The sequence below is a fragment of the Homo sapiens genome, chromosome 11 (genome assembly GCF_000001405.40).
Source record: "Homo sapiens chromosome 11, GRCh38.p14 Primary Assembly".
Taxonomy (NCBI): domain Eukaryota; kingdom Metazoa; phylum Chordata; class Mammalia; order Primates; family Hominidae; genus Homo; species Homo sapiens.
In genome coordinates this window covers 118527750-118548865 of record NC_000011.10, presented here as the reverse complement: position 1 = coordinate 118548865, position 21116 = coordinate 118527750, and the positions used below count along the sequence as shown (strand labels likewise).

At 49.9% G+C, this 21116-nt stretch overlaps 3 protein-coding genes and 1 long non-coding RNA gene across 59 annotated transcripts in view, besides 4 other annotated features; 2 read left to right on the top strand and 2 right to left on the bottom strand.

Moving 5' to 3' along the window:
- Window positions 1-4323, top strand: part of IFT46 (intraflagellar transport 46) — a 32356-nt gene extending 28033 nt beyond the window's left edge. For all 6 annotated transcript variants that reach the window (XM_011542906.4, XM_011542905.4, XM_017018018.3 and 3 more), the window contains 3 exons: window positions 3013-3073; window positions 3372-3457; window positions 3855-4323. In XM_011542906.4, coding sequence (XP_011541208.1) covers window positions 3013-3073; window positions 3372-3457; window positions 3855-3950 — 243 coding nt within the window. In that variant the 3' untranslated portion in view covers window positions 3951-4323. The remainder of the gene's footprint in view (window positions 1-3012; window positions 3074-3371; window positions 3458-3854) is intronic.
- On the bottom strand, window positions 1580-17674 carry TMEM25 (transmembrane protein 25). Of its 44 annotated transcripts, none has more exons than NM_001144037.2 (9): window positions 17632-17674; window positions 16995-17091; window positions 16405-16716; window positions 15659-15949; window positions 15315-15446; window positions 14979-15009; window positions 14737-14837; window positions 14511-14600; window positions 1580-2747 (listed from the first exon to the last, which is right to left on the bottom strand). In NM_001144037.2, exons 2-9 carry the CDS (start codon window positions 17062-17064, stop codon window positions 2719-2721), a joined length of 1056 nt encoding a protein of 351 aa, NP_001137509.1. In that variant the 5' UTR covers window positions 17065-17091; window positions 17632-17674; the 3' UTR covers window positions 1580-2718. The 44 variants fall into 44 exon arrangements, 43 of the variants coding, with proteins under 43 accessions (NP_001137509.1, XP_047283683.1, XP_047283695.1 ...); XM_047427727.1 differs by having other exon boundaries at window positions 14511-14597; XM_047427739.1 differs by having other exon boundaries at window positions 16405-16620.
- Window positions 17427-17526: a silencer, noted in NCBI's record as "silent region_3947". NCBI's record gives its function as "represses an Ori minimal core promoter by ATAC-STARR-seq in GM12878 lymphoblastoid cells {active_cell/tissue: GM12878}" and the evidence as "EXISTENCE:reporter gene assay evidence [ECO:0000049][PMID:35858748]".
- Window positions 17557-17996: a silencer, noted in NCBI's record as "silent region_3946". NCBI's record gives its function as "represses an Ori minimal core promoter by ATAC-STARR-seq in GM12878 lymphoblastoid cells {active_cell/tissue: GM12878}" and the evidence as "EXISTENCE:reporter gene assay evidence [ECO:0000049][PMID:35858748]".
- The window catches only part of TTC36-AS1 (TTC36 and KMT2A antisense RNA 1), a 19177-nt gene continuing 15832 nt past the window's right edge, over window positions 17772-21116 (top strand). For 4 of the 5 annotated variants that reach the window (NR_120574.1, NR_120573.1, NR_120575.1 and 1 more), the window contains exon 1: window positions 18091-18362. This is a non-coding gene — a long non-coding RNA (TTC36 and KMT2A antisense RNA 1). Of the gene's footprint in view, window positions 17876-18090; window positions 18363-21116 lie in introns of those variants that run through there. The other variant, NR_120576.1, reaches the window with a different exon arrangement.
- TTC36 (tetratricopeptide repeat domain 36) overlaps window positions 17873-21116 on the bottom strand; it is a 3520-nt gene continuing 276 nt past the window's right edge. The window contains exons 2-4 of one of the 4 annotated variants that reach the window (NM_001346096.2): window positions 20810-20944; window positions 20075-20263; window positions 17873-18212 (exon numbers count right to left, since the gene is read on the bottom strand). In NM_001346096.2, coding sequence (NP_001333025.1) covers window positions 17950-18212; window positions 20075-20204 — 393 coding nt within the window. In that variant the 5' untranslated portion in view covers window positions 20205-20263; window positions 20810-20944 and the 3' untranslated portion in view covers window positions 17873-17949. Of the gene's footprint in view, window positions 18213-18304; window positions 18450-20074; window positions 20264-20809; window positions 20945-21116 lie in introns of those variants that run through there. The other 3 variants (NM_001346097.2, NM_001080441.4, NM_001346098.2) reach the window with 3 other exon arrangements.
- Window positions 18117-18396: a silencer, noted in NCBI's record as "silent region_3945". NCBI's record gives its function as "represses an Ori minimal core promoter by ATAC-STARR-seq in GM12878 lymphoblastoid cells {active_cell/tissue: GM12878}" and the evidence as "EXISTENCE:reporter gene assay evidence [ECO:0000049][PMID:35858748]".
- Window positions 18918-19212: a silencer, noted in NCBI's record as "tiled region #12917; K562 Repressive DNase matched - State 8:EnhW". NCBI's record gives its function as "represses a minimal TATA promoter and a strong SV40 promoter by Sharpr-MPRA in K562 cells {active_cell/tissue: K562}" and the evidence as "EXISTENCE:reporter gene assay evidence [ECO:0000049][PMID:27701403]".

The window sequence follows — 21116 nt, the reverse complement described above, 5'->3', positions numbered from 1 at the left end:
GAGGATTGCTTGAGCCCAGGAGTTTGAGACCAGTCTGGGCAACATAGACCCATCTCTATTAAAAGAAAAAAAAAAGGCCAGGTGCAGTGGCTCACACCTGTAATCCCAGCACTTTGGGAGGGCGAGGCAAGAGGTCAAGAGATCAAGACCATCCAGCCAACATGGTGAAACCCCATCTCTACTAAAAATAGAAAAATTAGCTGGGCATGGTGGCGCACACCTGTAATGTAATCCCAGCACTTTGGGAGGCCGAGGCGGGCGGATCGTGAGGTCAAGAGATCAAGACCATCCTGGCCAACGTGGTGAAACCCCATCTCTACTAAAAATACAAAAATTAGCCAGGCATGGTGATGCACGCCTGTAGTCCCAGCTACTCGGAAGACTGAGCCAGGAGAATCGCTTGAACCCGGGAGGCGGAGGTTGCAGTGAGCCAAGATCGCGCCACTGTATTCCAGCCTCATGACAGAGTGAGACTCTGTCCAAAAAAAAAAAAAAAAAGTCGTAATGGAGAAAATGTGACAGTTTAAACTCATAGAAATGAAAGGTTCTACATACCAATAGACACCATAAACAAAGTTAAAAGACAGTGGCAGTCTGAGAAAAAATATTTTATATATGTATGTAATAGAAAAAATTACCGTCCAAGCAAAGAGCTCTTATATATTAATAAGAAAAGGAAACTGGGCCAGGCACGGTAGCTCACACCTGTAATCCCAGCACTTTGGGAGGCTGAGGTGGGATGATCATTTGAGGCCAGGAGTTCAGGACCAGCCTGGGCAACAATAAGAGACTCTTCTCTATTAAAAAAAAAAAAAAAAAAGGCTGGGCGTGGTGGCTCACGCCTGTAATCCCAGCACTTTGGGAGGCCGAGGCGGGCGGATCACGAAGTCAGGAGATCGAGACCATCCTGGCTAACATGGTGAAACCCCGTCTCTACTAAAAATACAAAAAATTAGCCGGGCGCTGTGGCGGGCGCCTATAGTCCCAGCTACTTGGGAGGCTGAGGCAGGAGAATGGCGTGAACCCGGGAGACGGAGATTGTAGTGAGCCAAGATAGCGCCACTACACTCCAGCCTGGGCGAAAGAGTGAGACTCTGTCTCAAAAAAAAAAAAAAAAAAAAGAAAAGAAAAGAAAAGTAAAAGGAGCTGGACACGGTGGCTCATGCCTGTAATCCCAGCACTTTGGGAGGCTGAGGCAGGTGGATCACCTGAGGTCTGGAGTTTGAGACCAGCCTGGCCAACATGGTGAGACCCCTGTCTCTATTGAAAACACAAAAAAATTAGCCGGGCCTGGTGGCGCACATCTGTAATCCCAGCTACTCAGGAGGCTGAGACAGGAGAATTGCTTGAATCCAGGAAGTGGAGGTTGCAGAGAGCCAAGATCATGCCACTGCACTCCAGTCTGGGCAACAGAGCAAGACTCCGTCTCAAAAAAGAATTTTTTTAAAGTATCAAAACAGAAAAGGAAACTGAACAAAGATGACCAACAGGTCCTTCCTAGCCATCATGTTTAAACTGCTGCACCAGCTCCCCAGCATTCCCCGCCCTCTGTCCCTGCTTTTTCTTGATAACACTTATCTTCTAACATACCATAGACTTTATTTACTTATTTTGTTCTTCCCTACTAAAATGTAAGCTCTACAAAGACAGATTTTTTTTGTATATGAAGAATTGATTGTAAACACACAGAATTTGGAAACAGTCTCTTTCCTCAGAGCATTTTGAAGCTGTAGTTGAGGGGAAGGTGTCTGATTAGGGGATTGAATAGCTAGGTTGCAGTACATCCATTCAGTGAAATACTATGCAATGGAATATTATTTGGCCTTATTTTGCTCTAATATGAAGAAATATCAGTGATATGTTGTTAAATGAAAAAAGCAAATTGCAGCAAGTTGCAGAACTATATGTACTCTGTTTTTTGTAAAAAGAGAAAAGTTTTAAGAAACCAGTAGTTTAAAAACTTCACACTGTGACTTGTTTAGATCCAGAGCCTGTTACCTGAGTTAGATGTCATGCCCATTTTCTCTGTTCATATGGTGTCCTGGAATCATTAGGCATTATAACACCAAGTAATGCATATATAACTGTTAATACTTGCCCATAACTTGGTATCAGTTTCTTTTTCACAGATTCCCACAGGAAAAGAGTATGGCAGTGTATTTTACCTATAAAACATATGACCAATTCCATACTGATCGGGGGAAAAAATAGCATGTTGTATTATTTTGCTAGGCTGCCATAACAAAGTACCATAGACTGAGTGGCTTAGACATCAGAAATGTATTATTTCATAGTTCTGGAGGCTAGTAGTCCAGTAGTAGTCCAAGATCAATTTGTTGGCATGGTTGATTCCCTCCCTCCCTTCCTTCCTTTTTTTTTACAGGGTATTACTCTATGCCCAGGCTGGAGTGCAGTAGCTCAATCTCAGCTCACTGCAGCCTCAACCTGCTGGACTCAAGCAGTCCTCCCACCCCAGCCTCCCAAGTAGCTGGGACTACAGATACTCAACACCACACCCGGCTAATTTTTTTGTAGAGATGGAATTTCACCATGTTGCCCAGGCTGGTCTCGAACTCCTAGGCTCAGGCGATCTGCCCACCTCAACCTCCCACAGTGCTGGTATTACAGGCGTGAAGCCACCACGCCCCACCAAGATTGATTTCTTCTGAGGGGTCTCTTCTTGGCCATCTTCTGTGTCTTCCCATGGTCTTCCCTCTGTTATGCGTCTTTGTCCTGATTTCTTCTTCCTATAAGGACACCAGTCATACTGGATTAAGGCCCACCCTAATGACCTTGTTTTAATTTAATTATCTCTTTAAAGATGTTATCTCCAAATATAGTCACATTCTGAAGTACAGGGAGTTAGGAACTCAATATCTGAATTTTAGGGGAACACATTTCAGCCCATAACCTGTGTCTTATGCTAGAAGCTCTTTTGCTTCAGAGAGAGAGAGTGGTTCTGGGACCACTGACACCATCCTTTTGACTTTGGTCCTTCCATGCCCCTTCCAGGTAAGCCTGCCCACGGCAGAGATTGATTGCAGCCTGGCAGAGTACATTGACATGATCTGTGGTGAGTTCCTCTTTCCTTTCCTCGTCCCCATCTCTGGATAGAGACACTCTAGGCTTTTGGACAGGCTTGTTTACTCTGGGAAGATAGTATCTTGAGTTTCAGCCTTCACTTTAAGCCCGTTGTGCTCTTTGGCAGCACTCAAAGGTGGTGTTTGGCTTATGTGACTACCTGCTGGGTATTTAACCCCCAAAGTCATAGCGACACCCCATCTGCCAGGGCTTTGCCTGTGCTAGACAGAAGGGCCTCTAATTCCCGGAGTTTGTTTGCTTCTGTTCCTGGAAGTTCTTCTTCGTTTCAGCCATTCTAGACATCCCTGTCTACAAGAGTCGGATCCAGTCCCTCCATCTGCTCTTTTCCCTCTACTCAGAATTCAAGAACTCACAGGTGAGCCAAGCATCAGGGGTTGACTTAAGCTGTAGAGAGGATCACTATAGTTTCTACTGTTCTGAGCCTGCTGTGATTGCATCCTATAGCGATGTAGGATGTCTCTGCCCAGTTACCTTCGCCCTTTCCCATAATTAGGAGAGCAAAGGAGGCAGGGATGGAGTTTTCAAGGGGAAAGTGGAGGAAAAAAAAGGGTGGGTGGAAGTAGGAGTTGTGGGCCTTAGATGAAATCAGGTGAGGATCTACAGAGGACACTCGTTCTTTCAGAACCAAGTTCCCTCATGAATGGAAGCAGGAAGGAAATAAAGGGGGTTCATTTTAAAGAAATTAATTCTTGTTAAAATATAGCAATTAGCATATCCCTAATACTCAATATTCCCTCTCCTCTTCCTTGCAGCATTTTAAAGCTCTCGCTGAAGGCAAGAAAGCATTCACTCCTTCATCCAATTCCACCTCCCAAGCTGGAGACATGGAGACATTAACCTTCAGCTGAGACACTTCCCAAGCTGCTGTTTCAAGGCTGAGCTGGCCCCTCTGCCCCAGCTGAGATGGACAGATCGTTGTCAGCTACTTGATGTCCTTGCCCATGCCACAGCTTGGCTCAGGGGCAGTGCATGTCCTGCTGCCCTCTCTGCCAGAGGGCACAGAACATGTTTGTTTAATGAACCTGCCTGCCTCAGATTGCTGTCCCCGGGGAGTTAATGCATCTACACCACTGTGGGGATTTGAGTTATAAGAATTGGAATTTCTGAGATCCCATGGAGGTTAGATTGGGAGGAAAGCTTAAAAGATGTCCTTTTTGTGAGAGGGATGGAATTGTTTTCTTTCATTCGTAAAGTTAGTGAGTAAAGATTTTATAAATCAAATGCTCTATTATATTGTCAGATTATTCTGCTATTTAATATGAAAGAGAAAAGGCTGACTGAGCATAACGCAGAGACACAGGAACTTTGCTTAGTAATGGGCATTAAATGAAGAGTAGTTAAAGCAAACAAATTTTGTGAAATAAAATGAAACCCCAATCCTCCAAGATTGGCAGTCGAGGGGAATCATTTTTCCTCTGGAATTTAATTTTTCTAAGGGTCTCTCTTCAGTTAATGCCGCCTTCCTGAGGCTGTCTGGCTCCAGACCTGTCTGGTTCTGGTCTCAGGGAGCGTAGCTATTGCGGTAATCCAGGTGAGAGGTGATTGGGGTGGCAGTAGTAGAGATGGACAGATTCAGTAAATATTTTGGAGTTATGTCAGCCAAGCTCCAGTCAGGAAGTCTGAAACCATGCTAGTTATTTCTAACAAAGGGTGTTTAGCCAGGCACAGTGGCTCACGCCTGTAATCCCAGAACTTTGGGAGGCCCAGGCAGGCAGATCATGTGGTCAGGAGTTCGAGACCAGCCTGGCCAATAATATGGTGAAACCCCACCTCTACTAATAATACAAAAGTTAGCCGGGTGTTTTGGTGCATGCCTGTAGTCCCAGCTAGTCAGGAGACTGAGGCAGAAGAATCACTTGAATCCGTGAGGTGGAGGTTACAGTGAGCTAAGATCGTGGCACTGCACTCCAGCTTGGGCAACAAAGCAAAACTGCATCTCAAAAAAAAAAAAAAAGGGGGTGTTTAATATGGGGAATTGGCCAGGTGCAGTGGCTCATGCCTGTAATCCCAGCACTTTGGGAGGCTGAGGCGGGTGGATCACTTGAGGTCAGCAGTTCAAGACTGGCCTGGCCAACATGGTGAAACCCTGTCTCTACTAAAAATACAAAGAATTAGCTGGGTGTGGTGGTGGGCACCTGTAATCTCAGCTACTCGGGAGGCTGACAGGAGAATCACTTGAACCCAGGAGGTGGCAGTTGCAGCGAGCCAAGATCGCGCCACTGCACTCCAGCCTGGGCAACAGAGCAAAACTCTTTCTCAAAAAAATATATAATAATATGATAAATTGGTTACAAAAGTGTTGTAGAGGCTGAAGGAGCAAAAGGGAGAACGGAGGGTACTGAGGAACATAAAAGTCAAAGGGGTGGTAGTCATTGCCGGCGCTGGTAGCAGAGGTGCTGTCTAAAAAAACAAAACAAAACAAAATCGATACCATCAGCCTAATAGATACACAATAAACACATGGGTAGGAGAGGAACTGTTTCTTACAAACCCTTTAACTATGATCATCATGCTTGAGTTTAAGGAGCAGGCACGTTTGAGCTGATGACAAACTTTGAGCTGACAAAACTGAGGCTTACAGCAACCTCCACCTCCCGGGTTCAAGCGATTCTCCTGCCTATGCCTCCCGAGTAGCTGGGATTACAGGCATGCACCACTACACCCGGCTAATTTGTTTTGTATTTTCAGTAGAGATGGAGTTTCACCGTGTTAGCCAGGGTGGTCTCAATCTGCTGACCTCATGATCCGACTGCCTCAGCCTCCCAAAGTGCTGGGATTACAGGCATGAGCCACTGCGCCCAGCCTCACCCAGCAAATTTTTGGTTTTTTGTTTTGTTTTGTTTGTTTGTTTGAGACAGAGTCTCGCTCTGTCACCGAGGCTGGAGTGCAGTGGTGCGATCTTGGCATACCGCAGCCTCTGCCTTCTGGGTTCAAGCAATTCTCCTGCCTCAGCCTCCCCAGTAGCTGGGATTACAGGCATGCACCACCACGGCTGGCTAATTTTTGTATTTTTAGTAGAGAAGGGGTTTCACCATGTTGCCCAGGCTGGTCTTGAATTCCTGCCTTTAGGTGATCTGCCTGCCTTGGCCTCCCAAAGTGCTGGGATTATAGGAGTAAGCCACTGTGCCCAGGCTTAATTTTTATATATATATTTTTTTGTAGAGACAAGTTCTTGTTATGTTGCCCGGGCTGGTCTCCAACTCCTGGCCTCAACTCATCCTCTGGTCTTGGCCTCCCAAAGTGCTGGGATTATAGGCATGAGCCACTGCGCCTGGCCCTCAATATTTATTTATGATTTGCTATTGTTTGCCTATTTGTCCCCTCCAAAACTCATGTTGAAATTTAATCCTCAATGCGGCCATATCAAGAAGTGGGGCCTTTAAGAGGTGTTTGGGTCACGAGGGCTCTGCCCTGATGAGTGGATTAATCCACTTATAGATTAATGGGTATTAAATGCATTGGCGGCTTATCATGGGAGTGGGACTGGTGGCTTTATAAGAAGAGAGACCTGACTTAGCATGTCCAGCCCCCTTGCCATGTGATGCTCTGCATTGCCTCAGAATTCTGCAGAGTCCCCACAAGCAAAAAGACCCTCACCAGATGTACCCCTCAACCGTGTACTTCCCGGCCCCCAGAATTCTAAGCGAATTAACGCAGGAACAAAAAACCAAACAGTGCATGTTCTTACTTGTAAGTGGGAGCTAAAAAGGCCAGGCACAGTGAGTCACACCTGTAATCCCAGCACTTTGGGAGGCTGAAGCCGGAGGACTGCTTGAGCCCAAACGTTTGAGACCAGCCGGGGAACGAAGTGAAACCACGTCTCTACAAAAAATACAAAATTAGCCAGGCATGATGGTATACACCTGTGGTCCCAGCTACTCGAGAGGCTGAGGTAGGAGGATCGATTAAGCCCGGGAGGTCGAGGCTGCAGTGAGCCGTGATTGTGCCACTGCACTCCAGCCTGGGTGACAGAATGAGACCCTGTCTTAAAACATATATAAAAATAAGTGAGAGCTAAACATGGAGCACACATGGACATAAACATGGGAAGAACAGACACTGTGGACCACTAGAGTGGTTGAAAAACTACCTATTGGATACTATGCTCACTACCTGGTGTGATACCAGGTAACAATCCTGCACATGTACCCTGTGTATCTAAAATAAAAGCTGAATTTTTTTTAAAAAATTTGTTTTTAATAAATGACCCAGTTTTAGGTATTGTTATAAGTAACAAAAAATGGACTAAGACATTCTTCTTTTGTTAGGTGAAGTTTCTTTTTCTTTTTTTTTTTTTTTTTTGAGACAGGGTCTCGCTCTGTCACCCAGGCTGGAGTGCAGTGGCGCAATCTTGGCTCACTGCAAGCTCCGCCTCCCAGGTTCAAGCCATTCTCCTGCCTCAGCCTCCCGAGTAGTTAGGACTACAGGTGCCCACCACCACACTCGGCTAATTTTTTGTATTTTTAGTAGAGACGGGGTTTCACTGTGTTGGCCAGGATGGTCTCGATCTCTTGACCTCATGATCCGCCCGCCTTGGCCTCCCAAAGTGCTGGGATTACAGGCATGAGCCACGGCGCCTGGCCTGTTAGGTGAAATTTCTAAACAGTGAAAAGTACAAATCAAATTAACATTTGATCAGTTTTTAAACAACAGCTTTATTGAGATCTAACTCACATACCATAAGTTCATCCTCGTGTAAGTGTTTTTAGTATGTTCACAAAGTTGTGCATCTATCACTACGAATTCCAGAACATTTTCATCACCCCAAAAAAGAACCCCATATTCACCAGTAGTCACTCCCCATTCTGCCCTCCCCCCAGACCCTGGCAACCACTAACTTGCTCTCTGACTCTGCAGATTTGCCTACTCTGGACATTTCATATAAATGGAGTCAAACAACGTGTGATCTTTTGGGTTTGGCCTTTCACTTGGCATAATGTCATCAAGGTTCTTTCATGTTGTAATCTGCTAGGTTTTGATCTGCATAACAAGCAGGAGTCTCTTATCTGTGTCTTCTGAAAAAAAGAGTGTTTGGCTTTCATCAACTTCTCCAATGGGTCTGTCACCCGACAAAGGAACAAGGAATCCCTGATCTAAGGGATGTGTATCGAGAATTGGGACAGTAGTTTGCCAGTCCACCCCCTACTGAATATTTGGCAAGATGGAAGCCTTGTCAGGAAGAGTAAACTTTCTGATAATTAAGACCTTGGGTGCAGCTGAGAGGAGCTCAGAGCTTGCAGTCTTGCCAAGGGGCTATCAAAGGAAGAGCCCCAGGACCTTCTGAGGGAGCATGGATGAGCAAGTCAAAAGAAGTGACAGCAAGGCCCTCTGGCTAAGAAAAATTTTGGAGTGGCAAGGAGCTCACACGCAAAATCAGTAGAGGCTAGAACTCAGCTCCTTTCAGGTGGCTGGCACGGCCTTAGCCATTCTATGGAGGAAAACACTGAACAAGAGAGAAAGGAGGAAAGGGCATGAACCAGAAGCCCCCACAGCCATGGAAGCCAAGCCAACCCGTAGTCCCAGCTAGTGGGGAGGCTGAGGCAGGAGAATGGCAAGAACCCGGGAGGCGGAGCTTGCAGTGAGCCGAGATTGCGCCACTGCACTCCAGCCTGGGCAACAGAGCGAGACTCTGTCTCAAACAAAAACAAAAACCAGAAGATAAATCTGCGCTCAAAACGTCATCCCATTTCTAGGCTTTTCCCACCTCATGATTCTCCAATGTAATTTTTTTTTTTTTTTTTTTGAGACGGAGTCTTGCTCTGTCGCCCAGGCCGGAGTGCAGTGGCATGATATCGGCTCACTGCAACCTCCGCCTCCCGGGTTCAAGCAATTCTCATGCCTCAGCCTCCTGAGTAGCTGGGACTACAGGTGCACACCACCATGCCTGGCTAATTTTTGTATTTTTAGTAAAGATGGAGTTTCACCATGTTGGCTAGGCTGGTCTCGAACTCCTGGCCTCAAGTGATCTGCCCACCTCTGCCTCCCAAAGTACTGGTATTACAGGTGTGAATGACTGTGCCTGACCAAAAATTAAAATAAAGAAAAAATCACAGCCCATCGACAGAGCCAATGAAAACTTACACTTGGGAAAGTACACCCTCCACAATACATGGTGCTGGGAAAATTGGATAGCCACCTGCAGAAGAACGAAACTGGACCCCCTATCTCTCATGGTATATAAAAATCAACTCAAAATAGATTAAAGACTTAAACATAAGACCTGAAACTATAAAAATACTAGAAAAAAACCTAGGGAAAACTCTCCTGGACATTGGTCTAGGCAAAAAATTTATGACCTGGCCAGGCGCGGTGGCTCATGCCTGTAATCCCAGCACTTTGGGAGGCCAAGGCAGGTGGATCACGAGGTCAAGAGATCGAGACCACCCTGGCCAACATGGTGAAACCCTGTCTCTACTAAAAATACAAAAATTAGCTGGGTGTGGTGGCACGCACCTGTAGCCCCAGCTACTTGGGAGGTTGAGGCAGGAGAATCGCTTGAACCCGGGAAGTGGAGGTTGCAGTGAGCCGAGATCACACCACTGCATTCCAGCCTGGCAACAGAGCGAGACTCCGTCTCAAAAAAAAAAAAAAAAAAAAAATTTATGACCAAGACCTCAAACGCACAGCAACAAAAACAAAAATAGACAAATGGGTCTTAAACTAAAAAGCTTCCGCACAGCAAAATAAATAATGAACAGAGTGAAGAGACAATCTGTTGAATGGGAGAAAATATTCACAAACTATTCATCCAACAGGGGATTAATATCCAGAATATGCAAGGAATTCAAACAACTCAACAGGAAAAGAAACCAAATAATTCCATTAAAAAGTTGGCAAAGGACAAGAATAGACATTTCCTTTTTTTTTTTTTTTTGAGACGGCCTTACTCTGTTGCCCAGGCTGGAGTGCAGTGGCATGATCTCAGCTCACTGCAACCTCTGCCTCCTGGTACAAGCGATTCTCCTGCCTCAGCCTCCCAAGTAGCTGGGATTGCAGCTACATGCCACCATGCCCAGCTATTTTTTGTATTTTTAGTAGAGATGGGGTTTTGCCATGTTGGCCAGGCTGGTGTCAAACTCCTGAGTGCAAGTGATCCACCTGCCTCGGCCTCCCAAAGTGCTGGGATTACAGGTGTGAACCACCATGCCTGGCCGACATTTCTCAAAAGAAGACATACAAACGGCTAACAGGTATATGAGAAAATGCTCAACATCACTAATCATCAGAGAAATGCAAATCAAAACCACAATGAGATACAAGCTTACCCCAATCAGAACGGCTATTATTAAAAAGACAAAGCCTGGCGCAGTGGCTCACGCCTGTAATCCCAGCACTTTGGGAGGCAGAGTTGGGCAGATCACGAGGTCAGGAGTTCAAGACCAGCCTGGCCAATATGGTGAAACCTCATCTCTAGTAAAAATACAAAAATTAGCCAGGCGTGGTGCACGCCTGTAGTGCCAGCTACTGGGGAGGCTGAGGCAGAAGAATTGCTTGAACCTGGGAGGTAGAGGTTGCAGTGAGCTGAGATCGTACCCCTGCACTCCAGCCTGGGTGACAGAGCAAGACTCTGTCTCAAAAAAATAAACAAATAATAATAATTACAGATATTGATGAGGATGAGGAGAAAAGGGAACTCTTATACTCTTATATTGGTGGGAATGTAAACTAGTACAACCACTATGGAAAACCATATGGGGATTCTCTCTTTTCTTTGGAGACAGGGTCTCACTCTGTGGCCCAGGCTGGAGTGCAGTGGAGTGATCTCAGTCACTGCATCCTCTGCCTCCTGGGCTGAAGTGATCCTCTTGCCTCAGCCTCCCAAGTAGCTGGCACTACAGGTACACACCACCACGCCCAGCTAATTTTTGTGTTTTTGTAGAGATGGGACTCTCACCATGTTGCCCAGGCTGGTCTTGAACTCCTGGGTTCAAGCGATCCACCCGCCTCGGCCTCCCAAAGTGCTAGGGTTACAGGTATGAGTCACCACACCCGGCCTGTAATTTCTCAGAAACTAAAAATAGGATTACCATTCAATCCAGCAATCCTACTTCCGGGTATCTCCAAAAAGGAAAAGAAATCAAAATATCAAAGAGATGCCTGCACTTTCATGTTTATTGCTGCACTATTCACAATAGCAAATATCCAGAATCAACCTAAGTGTCCATCAACTGATGAATGGGTGAAGAAAATGTGGGTGAAGGAAAATGTGGGATAAACAAAAGAAGTGAGTTAAAGGGTACAAACATATAGTTGGAATAAATTCAATGCTTGATAGCAGAGTGGGGTGAGTATAGTTAACAAAAGTGTATTGTACTTGGGTAATGGACACCTTGAATATCCTAACCTGATTACTACACATTATACACATGTCACACCAGCCTGGGCAATAGAGTGAGACCCTGTCTCTACGAATTTTTTTTTTTTGGACGGAGTCTTGCTCTGTCATCCAGGCTGGAGTGCATTGGCGCGATCTCGGCTCACTGCAATCTCTGCCTCCTGGGTTCCAGCATTTCTCCTGCCTCAGCCTCCCGAGTAGCTGGGACCACAGGCACATGCTACCATGCCAGGCTAATTTTTTATATTTTAGTAGAGATGGGGTTTCACCATGTTGCCCAGGCTGGTCTCGAACTTCTGAGCTCAGGCAATCCACCCGCCTCGGCCTCCCAAAGTGCTAGGATTACAGGCGTGAGCCACCATGCCTGCCCCCTCCAAATTTTTTTAATTAGCTGAGCACAATGGCACACACCTGCAGTTCCAACTAGTCATGAGGCTGAGGTGGGAGGATCCCTTGAACACAGGAGTTCAAGGCTGCAGTGAGCTATGATTGCACCACTGCACTCCAGCCTGAGTCATAGAGCAAGACACACACACACGTGCTCTCTTGCGCTCTCTCTGTATATACACATACATACATAGATATGTTACAAAATTTCAATGAACCTCATAACTTTGTACAAAAAAAAATCACATCCCAGTCTGAGCCTTCTGTTCCCAAGGGCAGGACAAAGGGGCTCAGCATACTTTAGCCCAGTCCTGAGGTGGGAAGAAGCAGCTGAGTGAGGACCAAGTGAGAATCAGATGCTAGTTATAGCCAAGAGCCCCTGAAATAGAAAATGCCAATCCGGCCATTGGGAACACTATAATTAAAGAAATATTATTTATTTTTCTGAAGCACATTTGGTAATGTCAGAGTTGAGTGGTGGGTATACAGGTGCTTGCTATATTTTTTCCACTGTGAGACTGGAAAACTTCATTTAAAAAACATATTAGGCCGGGCGCAGTGTGGCTCATGCCTGTAATCCCAGCACTTTGGGAGGCTGAGGCGGGTGGATCACCTGAGGTCGGGAGTTCAAGACCAGCCTGACCAACATGGAGAAACCCCATCTCTACTAAAAATACAAAATTAGCTGGGCATGGTGGTGCATGCCTGTAATCCCAGCTACTTGGAAGGCTGAGGCAGGAGAATCACTTGAACCCAGGAGGCAGAGGTTGCGGTGAGCCGAGATCACGCCATTGCACTCCAGCCTGGGCAACATGAGCAAAACTCTGTCTCAAAAAAAAAAAAGAAAAGAAAAGCATATTAGAAGGCTGGGTGTGGTGGCTCACACCTGTACTCCCAGCACTTTGGGAGGCCGAGGTGGGCAGATCACTTGAGGTCAGGAGTTCGAGACCAGTCTGGCCAACATGGTAAAACCCCATCTCTACTAAAAATATAAAAATTAGATGGGCGTGGTGGTAGGCGTCTACAGTCCCAGCTACTTGGGAGGCTGAGGCAGGAGAATCGTTTGAATCTGGGAGGCGGAGGTTGCAGTGAGCCAAGATCGCGCCGCTGCACTCCAGCCTGGGCGACAGAGTGAGACTCCATCTCAAACGAAACAAAATAAAACAAAAACAAAAACATATTAATAGAAGAAATGAAGCAGAGATATGTAAATGAATTCAGTCAAGTTTATTAAACTTGCTGTGTGCTCAGCACCGCCCTAGGCAGTAACATGAAAAACATTACAAAAGAAGATCTCAACAAGGGAAAAATATATTCTGTACTATATTAATTTCCAATCATTTACATGTTGCTTTTTAAAGTGTTCTTAGGTCACTTTGGGGTATGTGGTCTCCTTCTTTCTCCATGTTCCCCTAAAGCTTCCACACTGTTGAATTATGTGCCTGTGGCGACCATCCTCCAGGAAGGGCACCTTCCTGCTGATGAGGCAACCATGGGTTGGTCAGGGCTGGGGTCCCGTGGTGGAGGAGACATGCTGAGAGAAAAACCATCAACCCCGAGAGCTCAGGACACTCACAGTGAATCCCAGAAGGCCAAACGTGGGGAAGCCACAAAGAGGGCTCTGGGCCCCTCACTCACCCCCTCCCCTAGGGGATGTGCTTAAAGTGCTAACGCCGTAGGAAAATGATGCATAGCTACAAGCCGTCCTGGGTGCTACTAGACTCATCGCCTGCCTCTTCCTCCCTAACTTGTGCTAATACTGGGCGATGGCACAGGCCAATAGAAAAGTCTAGTGCCCAGTGAAGTAGTAGAGAAGGTCCAACGTGTAACCTAGAATTCCCAAGAGGAGGTGGGGACAGAAGAGAAGAAGTGAAGGGCAGAGACGTGTGCAGCAAAAAGGACGTTTGTGCTTGGCCGGTACCGCTGGGTCAGGGGTTGGTTTCTGTGCAAAGGGCAATTGGGTTCTGCACAGCTAGCAGGGTCCTAAATTTTACCTGAGGGAACAAGGCTACATAGCATAGGAAGGAGGAAAATCCATGCAGGGCCCTCCCTGTCCCCCACACAGGCACGCCCCCATGCCTACTGTACAAGGTGCTGTGGAGTACTGGGGTGGGGTATACAGCAGGCCATGCCACACTTGGATGCTGGATGACATCTGAACACCCCTGGCCAAAGAGCTCCCTCTGGAAGGGCCCAGTCATCACATGCAGGGCCCACCCTGAGTCAGCATGAGGGGCTTACGTCCAACTGGTAGCCTTGCCAAAGATACCTGTGCCCCTGCGGGTTACAGCCCAGTGAAATGCATCACGTGCATGACATGGAGGGCACCCCAGCCAGGAGGGCAAGCAAAAGTGGCAGTGGCATAACTTCTTCACGTTGGTGACCTAGCTAGGTAGAGGATGCCTTGGAGGAACGGGAGGGTGTCCAGAGGCCAAGAGAATACTCCTGTCTCGCCCTCGGCTCAGAGCCAGATCTCATCACTGCTCACGCTGGACACTCGATAGATATAGCCCAGCACTGGGAGGCGGATGAAACCTGCGGGATCAAAGAAGCCCGCGGGGACTCAGTAACGCTTGTTCCTTGGAATTTGGAGAGCTCTCTCTGCCTCCTGGGCACTTGGAGGCCTCTGGCATAAGCACAGGGCTGGGGGGCAGAGGAGGAGGGTGGCAGGCCCCTTCCCCAGTACCTTGGCTGGTGAGGAGGCCGCCGGGCTCCGGGTCCAGAAGCTCTGGCCGGCTGTTGTTCTGAGCCATCTGCCGGTCTGCTGGTTTCACTGCTGGTTGACAAAGAGGGCAGTGTTCAGGACGAGGAGTGTGCCTGATGAGGCCTCGCCCCTCCCAAGCACCAAGTTCTTTTTCTCAGAAGCACTTCTGGAGATTAAGCAGGGGCAAAGAGCAGGGCCCTAGATATACCTCTGGAATCTGGAGTGAGGTCATTGAGCTGAAGGTTGGACGGGAGGGACATGTTCTCCCGTGGCAGGCGCACGTTGTTGAGTTTTAGGTTGTTGGAGTCACTACAGGGAGGACAAAGTTCGGGATGGATATGAGTCCCGGCACAGGCACTCATGGCTGCCTCTACCAGAAACCCCAGGCTCCCTCCTGTCCCCATCCTGCATTTCGGTTAGGCTTGTCCACCCAGCCCAAGGAAGAGTTACCTTGATATCAGAGATGGGTGCCGGGAGGGGCCTGTGGAGAAAGAAACCATGTCCCTAATTCTCAGTGTGCCCTCCCACGCTGGGCTGTCCTACCCTTTCAGACCCAGGACCCTCAGGCAAGGGGTCTCTCAAATGCCCAGGCCTGGCCCTGGGGCCAGAGACTGGGTTCCCAGTGCTTGACCCTGCTACCTGGGATGCATGTCACCGTACCCATGGCCACCCCCTGGAAGTGCTCTGCCACCGTCAGAGATGACTGGTTCTGCCCAGCTGCACTTGCTGTCTTGGCTGCTGCTCAGCCTGACCTCATCCACACTGCCCCCAGTGTCCCTGGCCTACCTTTGGTTTTCTTCTCTTTTCTGCAGACCAGGCAGGCCACCAAGGTGCTGAACCCCACGAGGGTGCCCAGTGCAAGCCCAGCAGCCACAACAATGCCCAGCAGTGGCACTTCCACCCGGGTAGCCAGAAGCCCTGGAGGATGTCCTCTGTGTCAGGTCCCAAGTGGGTAGTGCCCCAGCCCCAACATGCCATAGGTACTACTCTGCCCTCCTTGCCCAGGGTGGCTGGGGACAGTTCATCCACAAGACCCAACCACAGGGCAACAAGTATTCCCATTTCTGTATGGGGACGGGACCCCTGAGCCCACCTGAAGCTTTGCAGGGCCGCTTGCTGGCCATGCTCACCTGGGGCTGGAAGCGACGCACTGGTGACACCCACGTCATTGGTGGCCACCACCGAGAGGTTGTGTGCCAGGCTGCGGAGCTGCAGCTGCACCGTGTGGTTGGTGAGCCAGGGGTAGTTCTGCGCATCCAGCACCAGGAAGTCAGAGGTGTTGACAGTCACTGGCCCATCCTGGTCGATCCAGGTGACATTGGCCGGCGGGTTGGCACGCACCAGGGCAAACAGGACAACCAGGAGGCCTGGGCCCTGAGCTTCCTGGTACTTGGCGCCGACTTGGGCAATCTCTGGCTTGACTGGTACAAAGCAGAGGCCAATATGCTCTCACCACAGCCCCTCATACTTCTAGCCCTTTCTTCCCAAACCCAGATGGGAGCCAGGGGCCTGGGCCTCTCCTCAGAGGGGATGCTGAGGAACAGGATGGCTGGGTCTGCCAGAGAGGCAGCATTTCGGAGTGATTATGAGTGTAAATACTAGAGCCAAATGCCCAGATGTGAATCCTGGCTCTGCTTCTTACCAGCGGGATCATCACCCTGGGCAGATTGCTTACCTCTTTCTGCCTCAGTTTTCTTATTTGTAAAATGGTGACGACAATAGTAATGACCTCATGGGGTTACTCAGAGGATCAAATGAGTTCATATTTGCAAAGTGCTTAAGTGTCTGCTAAATGTCCTGCGGACCACCTGCCTGGTGGGTGCTGGGGGTCCCTGGGCAAAGAACCTATCTCCCTGCCCACCTCAGGGCCACTCACATTGCACATTAAGGATGACAGAGGCGTTGGCTGATCGGCCACTTCTGGGGTCCTGCAGAGAGCAGTTGAGCTCATGCTGGGCCCGATGGGCAGTGACAGTGAAGGTGCTGGTGCCTCCAGAGAAGGCCTCCCCTCCCACGCTCAGCAGTCTTGAGGTGCTGGCCTCCTGCAGCTGTCCATCCAGATACCAGGCCAATCTGGGGGTGCCAGGCCCCCCTGCCACCCGGCAGGTGAAGGCGTGGCGTTCATTCTCCCGAAGTGCCCGCTCAGCCCAGGTCTGACCATCTATTTGTGGCTCCAACTCCCCCCAACCTGGAACACAGCAGGAGGCCTCTGGGAAGGGCTCAGGCACGGTTGGTACTGTGCTGTGACCAGGAATTGGCCCAGTGAGAAGAGCAGCAGGCCAAAGGAAAGGGCACCTGAGTCCTCTCACCAGGGACTGGCTGGTTGGACCTAGGGTAGGTGGGTGAAGGGGACAGGGACTCCAGGGCTTGGGGCCTGGAGTGGGTACCCAAACAGAAGTGCAGACAGGGGAGAGAGGGGGCTTTGGAACCCAGAAGGACTTGGTCAACGACTGAACAGGGGTGTACCTGAGCTCAGAAGGGCTGGCAGGAGCAGCAGTGTGTGCCGGAGGGCGGCTGGGCCTGGAGGCAGCGCCATGGTGGCCCGGGCCTAGGCCCTAGGCTGCTGAGAGAAGGGGGCGGGCCTGTCAGCCAGGTGACAGCAGGCAGGCCTAGCAATTGCTCCAGGAATTTACTCTCCAGAAACAAAAAGAACCATGTACGGAAACGCAAATGTAGACCAGCCCCCAGTGGCGAAGGCACGGACACGAACGGCAAAGCCCAAAGGCACAGACCCACCCAGCAGACACATGGACATCCTGCAGGCGCAGAAGCGAGCACTGACTCCAGGCTACAATACAAAGAGGCACACACCCGCAGATACGCAGAAGCAACGAGCATCCGTGCAACCACACCTTGCACACACGCACACTCACACACATACTCCACGCGCCCCTCCCCCAAAGGGATCGCCTTTCTCCTAATCCTATTCTCTCTCCTGCCCTGTTCCCATCCTCTCTCCTGCCCTGTTCTCTCTCCCATCCCTCGCCCTACGCCCCCTTTCCTGATGTTGGTGGCTCCGGTGGATGTCGGCGGAAGAGGAGAGGGTCGGAGGGTGGGGTCGCCGAGCATCCCGCCCCCGCCCCCCGCCACCGGGGCGGCTCACCTGGCTCCCTCCCCGAGCGCCGCCGGAGCAACTGCTCAGGTCTGATGAGCACCGCAGTCCGCTGCAGGGGCGGGGGCTGCGCCAGGCGGGGCCAATCGATGCCCGACCACGGGCCCGAGGGGCCCTTACCCGGCAGGTGGGCGGCCGCGGCTCACCACCCCCCGGCTGGTCCCCAGCCCGCGCCGAGTACCCCCGAGTGCCCTTCTCTCCGGGCGCGGGCAGGACGCAGGAGCAGGCGGAGTCGGTGAGGCCCGACGGCTTTATTGGTTCAGGGCCCAGTCCCGTCCCCTCGCCCGCGGACGCCCGGGTCCGCGGCGCTCAGCGGCTGTCACGGGGGCGGCGCAGCTGCCCCATCATGTCGGCCAGCATGCGGTTGCACAGCGCGGCGTAGGGGTTGAGCAGCACCAGCTGGCGCCGCGCGAAGGGGCTGCCCAGCCGTGCCGCCCTCTCGAAGTCCCTGCGGGCGTCGTCGTCTCGGCCCTGCAGCCGCGCCAGGAGTCCGCGCTGCACAAAGCTCTGGCGGGCGGCGCGGCCCCGGCCGCCGCTCAGCTCCACCGCGCGTTCCAGATCCTCCAGGGCGCCTGCGGGACCGACGAGACGGGCGGGGCGGGGGTCAGCGGAGGCCAGGGCGGCCTTGCCCGAGCCCCAGCCCACCTGCGGCCGCGCGGATCACCGTGGTTCTTGCGGCTCCCGGGCGTGGCCATTTACAACCCGCCTCGCACCTGCTAGAGGTACGGATCGTTATTCCCATTACACAGATGAAGACTGTGGAAGAGTTAAGCTCTACAGCCAAGCCACTTAGTGGCAGAGCTGGGACTGAAGTCCAGGTCTCGCCTTGTTCCTATTATTTTCCACCGCTAATACACGAAAACATGAACGTTGCAGGATTCTGAATGGCCACTATGTTTATGAGTCTGGCCCACTGCCCGGGCAAGTAGCAGCCAATTTATTCCACACCTGTTATTAAGCATCCACTATGTGCCAGGTGACTGACTCTGAATGTCAGGGTTCAAAAAATAATATTAACCGCACAATCATTTCTTACAAGTACAATCAAGACAGTTTCTCATTGTTTTCCTTTTGAGGGCCGTTTTCTCTTTTCCATTGCTTTCTTTAGAACACCTTCTCTCTCCCCTGTATCCTGGACTGATTGCCTTTCATCATTCTTTGGTTATCTCCATGTATCTAATTTCCTTGGTCCTGGAGCCAGAGCTGGCCTGCACCATTTTTATTGTTATTATTCTCATAAAATACTTGGGTTGGGCCTCAGAACTCTGAACTCAGAACTTCAGGCAGCCAGCCACCTTCTTAAAGTCCACCAGGCTGGCTTCTTTCGGGCTCTGCTTCAATTCACTCATGTTCTCTAGTCCCCCAAAGAGCCTGAGCCTCCGGAGAAGCGCTCAGAATGCAGTACTCCTTGGTTTCCCTCGGAGGAGCTGGTCTGGAGGAATCTCCAGTTGGAATCACCACTGCATCTCTCTGGGGTTTTGGTCTGCAGGCTGTCTCCAGTGATCTGGGGCAGATAAGCCTGGATAAGGGGCTCCTGGGAGGTTCCCATTGTTCCTGGAGTGGACTCAAAACTCCCTAGCCTGGCATTGCTGGTTCTGGGAGCACCTGTGTCACCACTGCTCCTAACAGTCAAGTAGTACTAGGTTTCCGTGGTTTATACCTTCACATTAGCCTCATCTTTGGTCCCCAGCATGGTCCCATTGTCTTCACTTAATTAGAATAACCTGAATGCAGCAGGAGTTTTGGACCTCTACAGACTGTACCTTCTCCACCCACCAACTAACTCCCACTCATCCTTCAAAACTCGCCCTTCAGGAACAGGTCCCACGCTGACCCCTCTCGAACTTGTTTTGCTGGTCTCAGAATTATGTGTCTGCCCTGCCTCCTGGACTGGGAGCTTTTCGAGGAGCAGTATCATGTGGGGATTAAGAGCACACACTCGAGCCCTACCACCTGGTTGACATCCCAGCTCTGCTGCTGCCTGACTGTATGATAGTGGGCAAGTTACTTAGCCTCTTCATGCTTCAGTTTCTTCATCTATAAACTGGGGATAACAATAGTACATACTTTTTAGGGTTGTTGTGAGGATTGATTTACTAGTTTGTATGTAAAGTGATTAATGCCTGGTACATAGTGACTGCTATATAAATGTTGGTGATCCATATACCTTTTATCTCAGTGTCCTCAGCACCAGCCTACTGCCACATAGTAGGCTCTCATTAACTGTTCCTTAATCAATGGAATGCAGTCTCTTCTGAATTTCACATTAACCCCATGATATTAGCAGGTCCCCTGATACTACTCCTACCTTATAGGTAAGAAGACAGGCTCCACAGGGGTTTAGCAAGGCCACCCCAGCCGCACAGCCACTTCAGTTCTGGTCTGTGCCCTCCCGTGGGCCCTTTTGCAGAGGATACAGGGCATCTCCCCTTACCTGCCACGTCTCCCTGGAGTCGCCGGGCCTGGGCACGGTTGTTGTAGGCTGAAGCCCTCTCAGGCAGCAGGCAGATGGCTTGGCCAAACCTCTCCAGGGCTGTGCTGAGGTCCCCAGCCTCTGCTGCCATCACCCCCTGCAGCTCCAGGGCCTTGGACTGTTCCAGCTGTGCTTGAGGGAAAACTTCATCTGGGCCAGGGAAGGAGCCAGGAGAAGCCAGGTGTGCAGTTGGTAGCAAGAAGAAAAAGCCACCTCAGGCTTTGGAATTCTGAGATCTGAGCCAGAGCTGACTGGGTATGGGTCACAGCAGGGGTCAGTTGCAGTGTTTGGGGTAGGGGGAGATGAGGTCACTAAGGCTGGGAGCTAGCATTGCCTGAGTTCCAAGAGACCTGGGAAGGGGCCTTGGTTGGTTCCCCATTGCCAAGAGAATGAAGCCCAGACTCCTCAATCTGTTAAAGAAGTTGCTCAAGTTCTTTGTGTATGGCCTCAACAGGCCATACGTTGCAGAGCTTGGATTTGAACCCAGGTCATTCTGGCTCCTGTCTGCATTTTACTCTACTACACCGCCTCTTATGCAAAGGCCACCATGACATTCCCAGATCATGAACATCACTTCTGACGTATCCCTCTGTGTTTCGGCCTGAGTTAGTAAGGTGTAGGCTTTACTCCTCTAGAAACAAAGGATCAAAAACTCCTTCATTAGGGATTAATGGAAAAGCCAGTGAACGCACTCACTGCGGAAGAGTTAGTTTGGAGCTTGGCTTGTGACAGTGTTTAACGGTTACTGGTTGTGCTTGCTATATTGGAACCACTCAACTGAGCAACCATGCCCTGCCTTATTTCAGTCTTCTGTTCTGGTGGTGGTATTCTCTGTTATGACAAAAATGTGAGAGTTTAACATCACCTGGCAGTTAAGCTTGGATCATACAGTCAATTAAGTGGTAAGTTCAGAGGCATGAGAGCTGATGGATCGAGAGACAAACCCCAGCTTACTCCTCTTGGCAGGACATCTCTTACCAAACCCCCATCAGTGCGCTAAGGA

Coding starts and splice junctions, on each gene's coding strand:
- TMEM25 (XM_047427720.1), bottom strand. CDS start 17,064: ATGGCGCTGCCTCCAGGCCCAGCCGCCCTCCGGCACACACTGCTGCTC. Junction 15,950..16,404: donor TGTCATCCTTAATGTGCAAT/GTGAGTGGCCCT, acceptor GCTTTGTACCAG/TCAAGCCAGAGATTGCCCAA. Junction 15,010..15,314: donor AAAAGAGAAGAAAACCAAAG/GTAGGCCAGGGA, acceptor CTTTCTCCACAG/GCCCCTCCCGGCACCCATCT.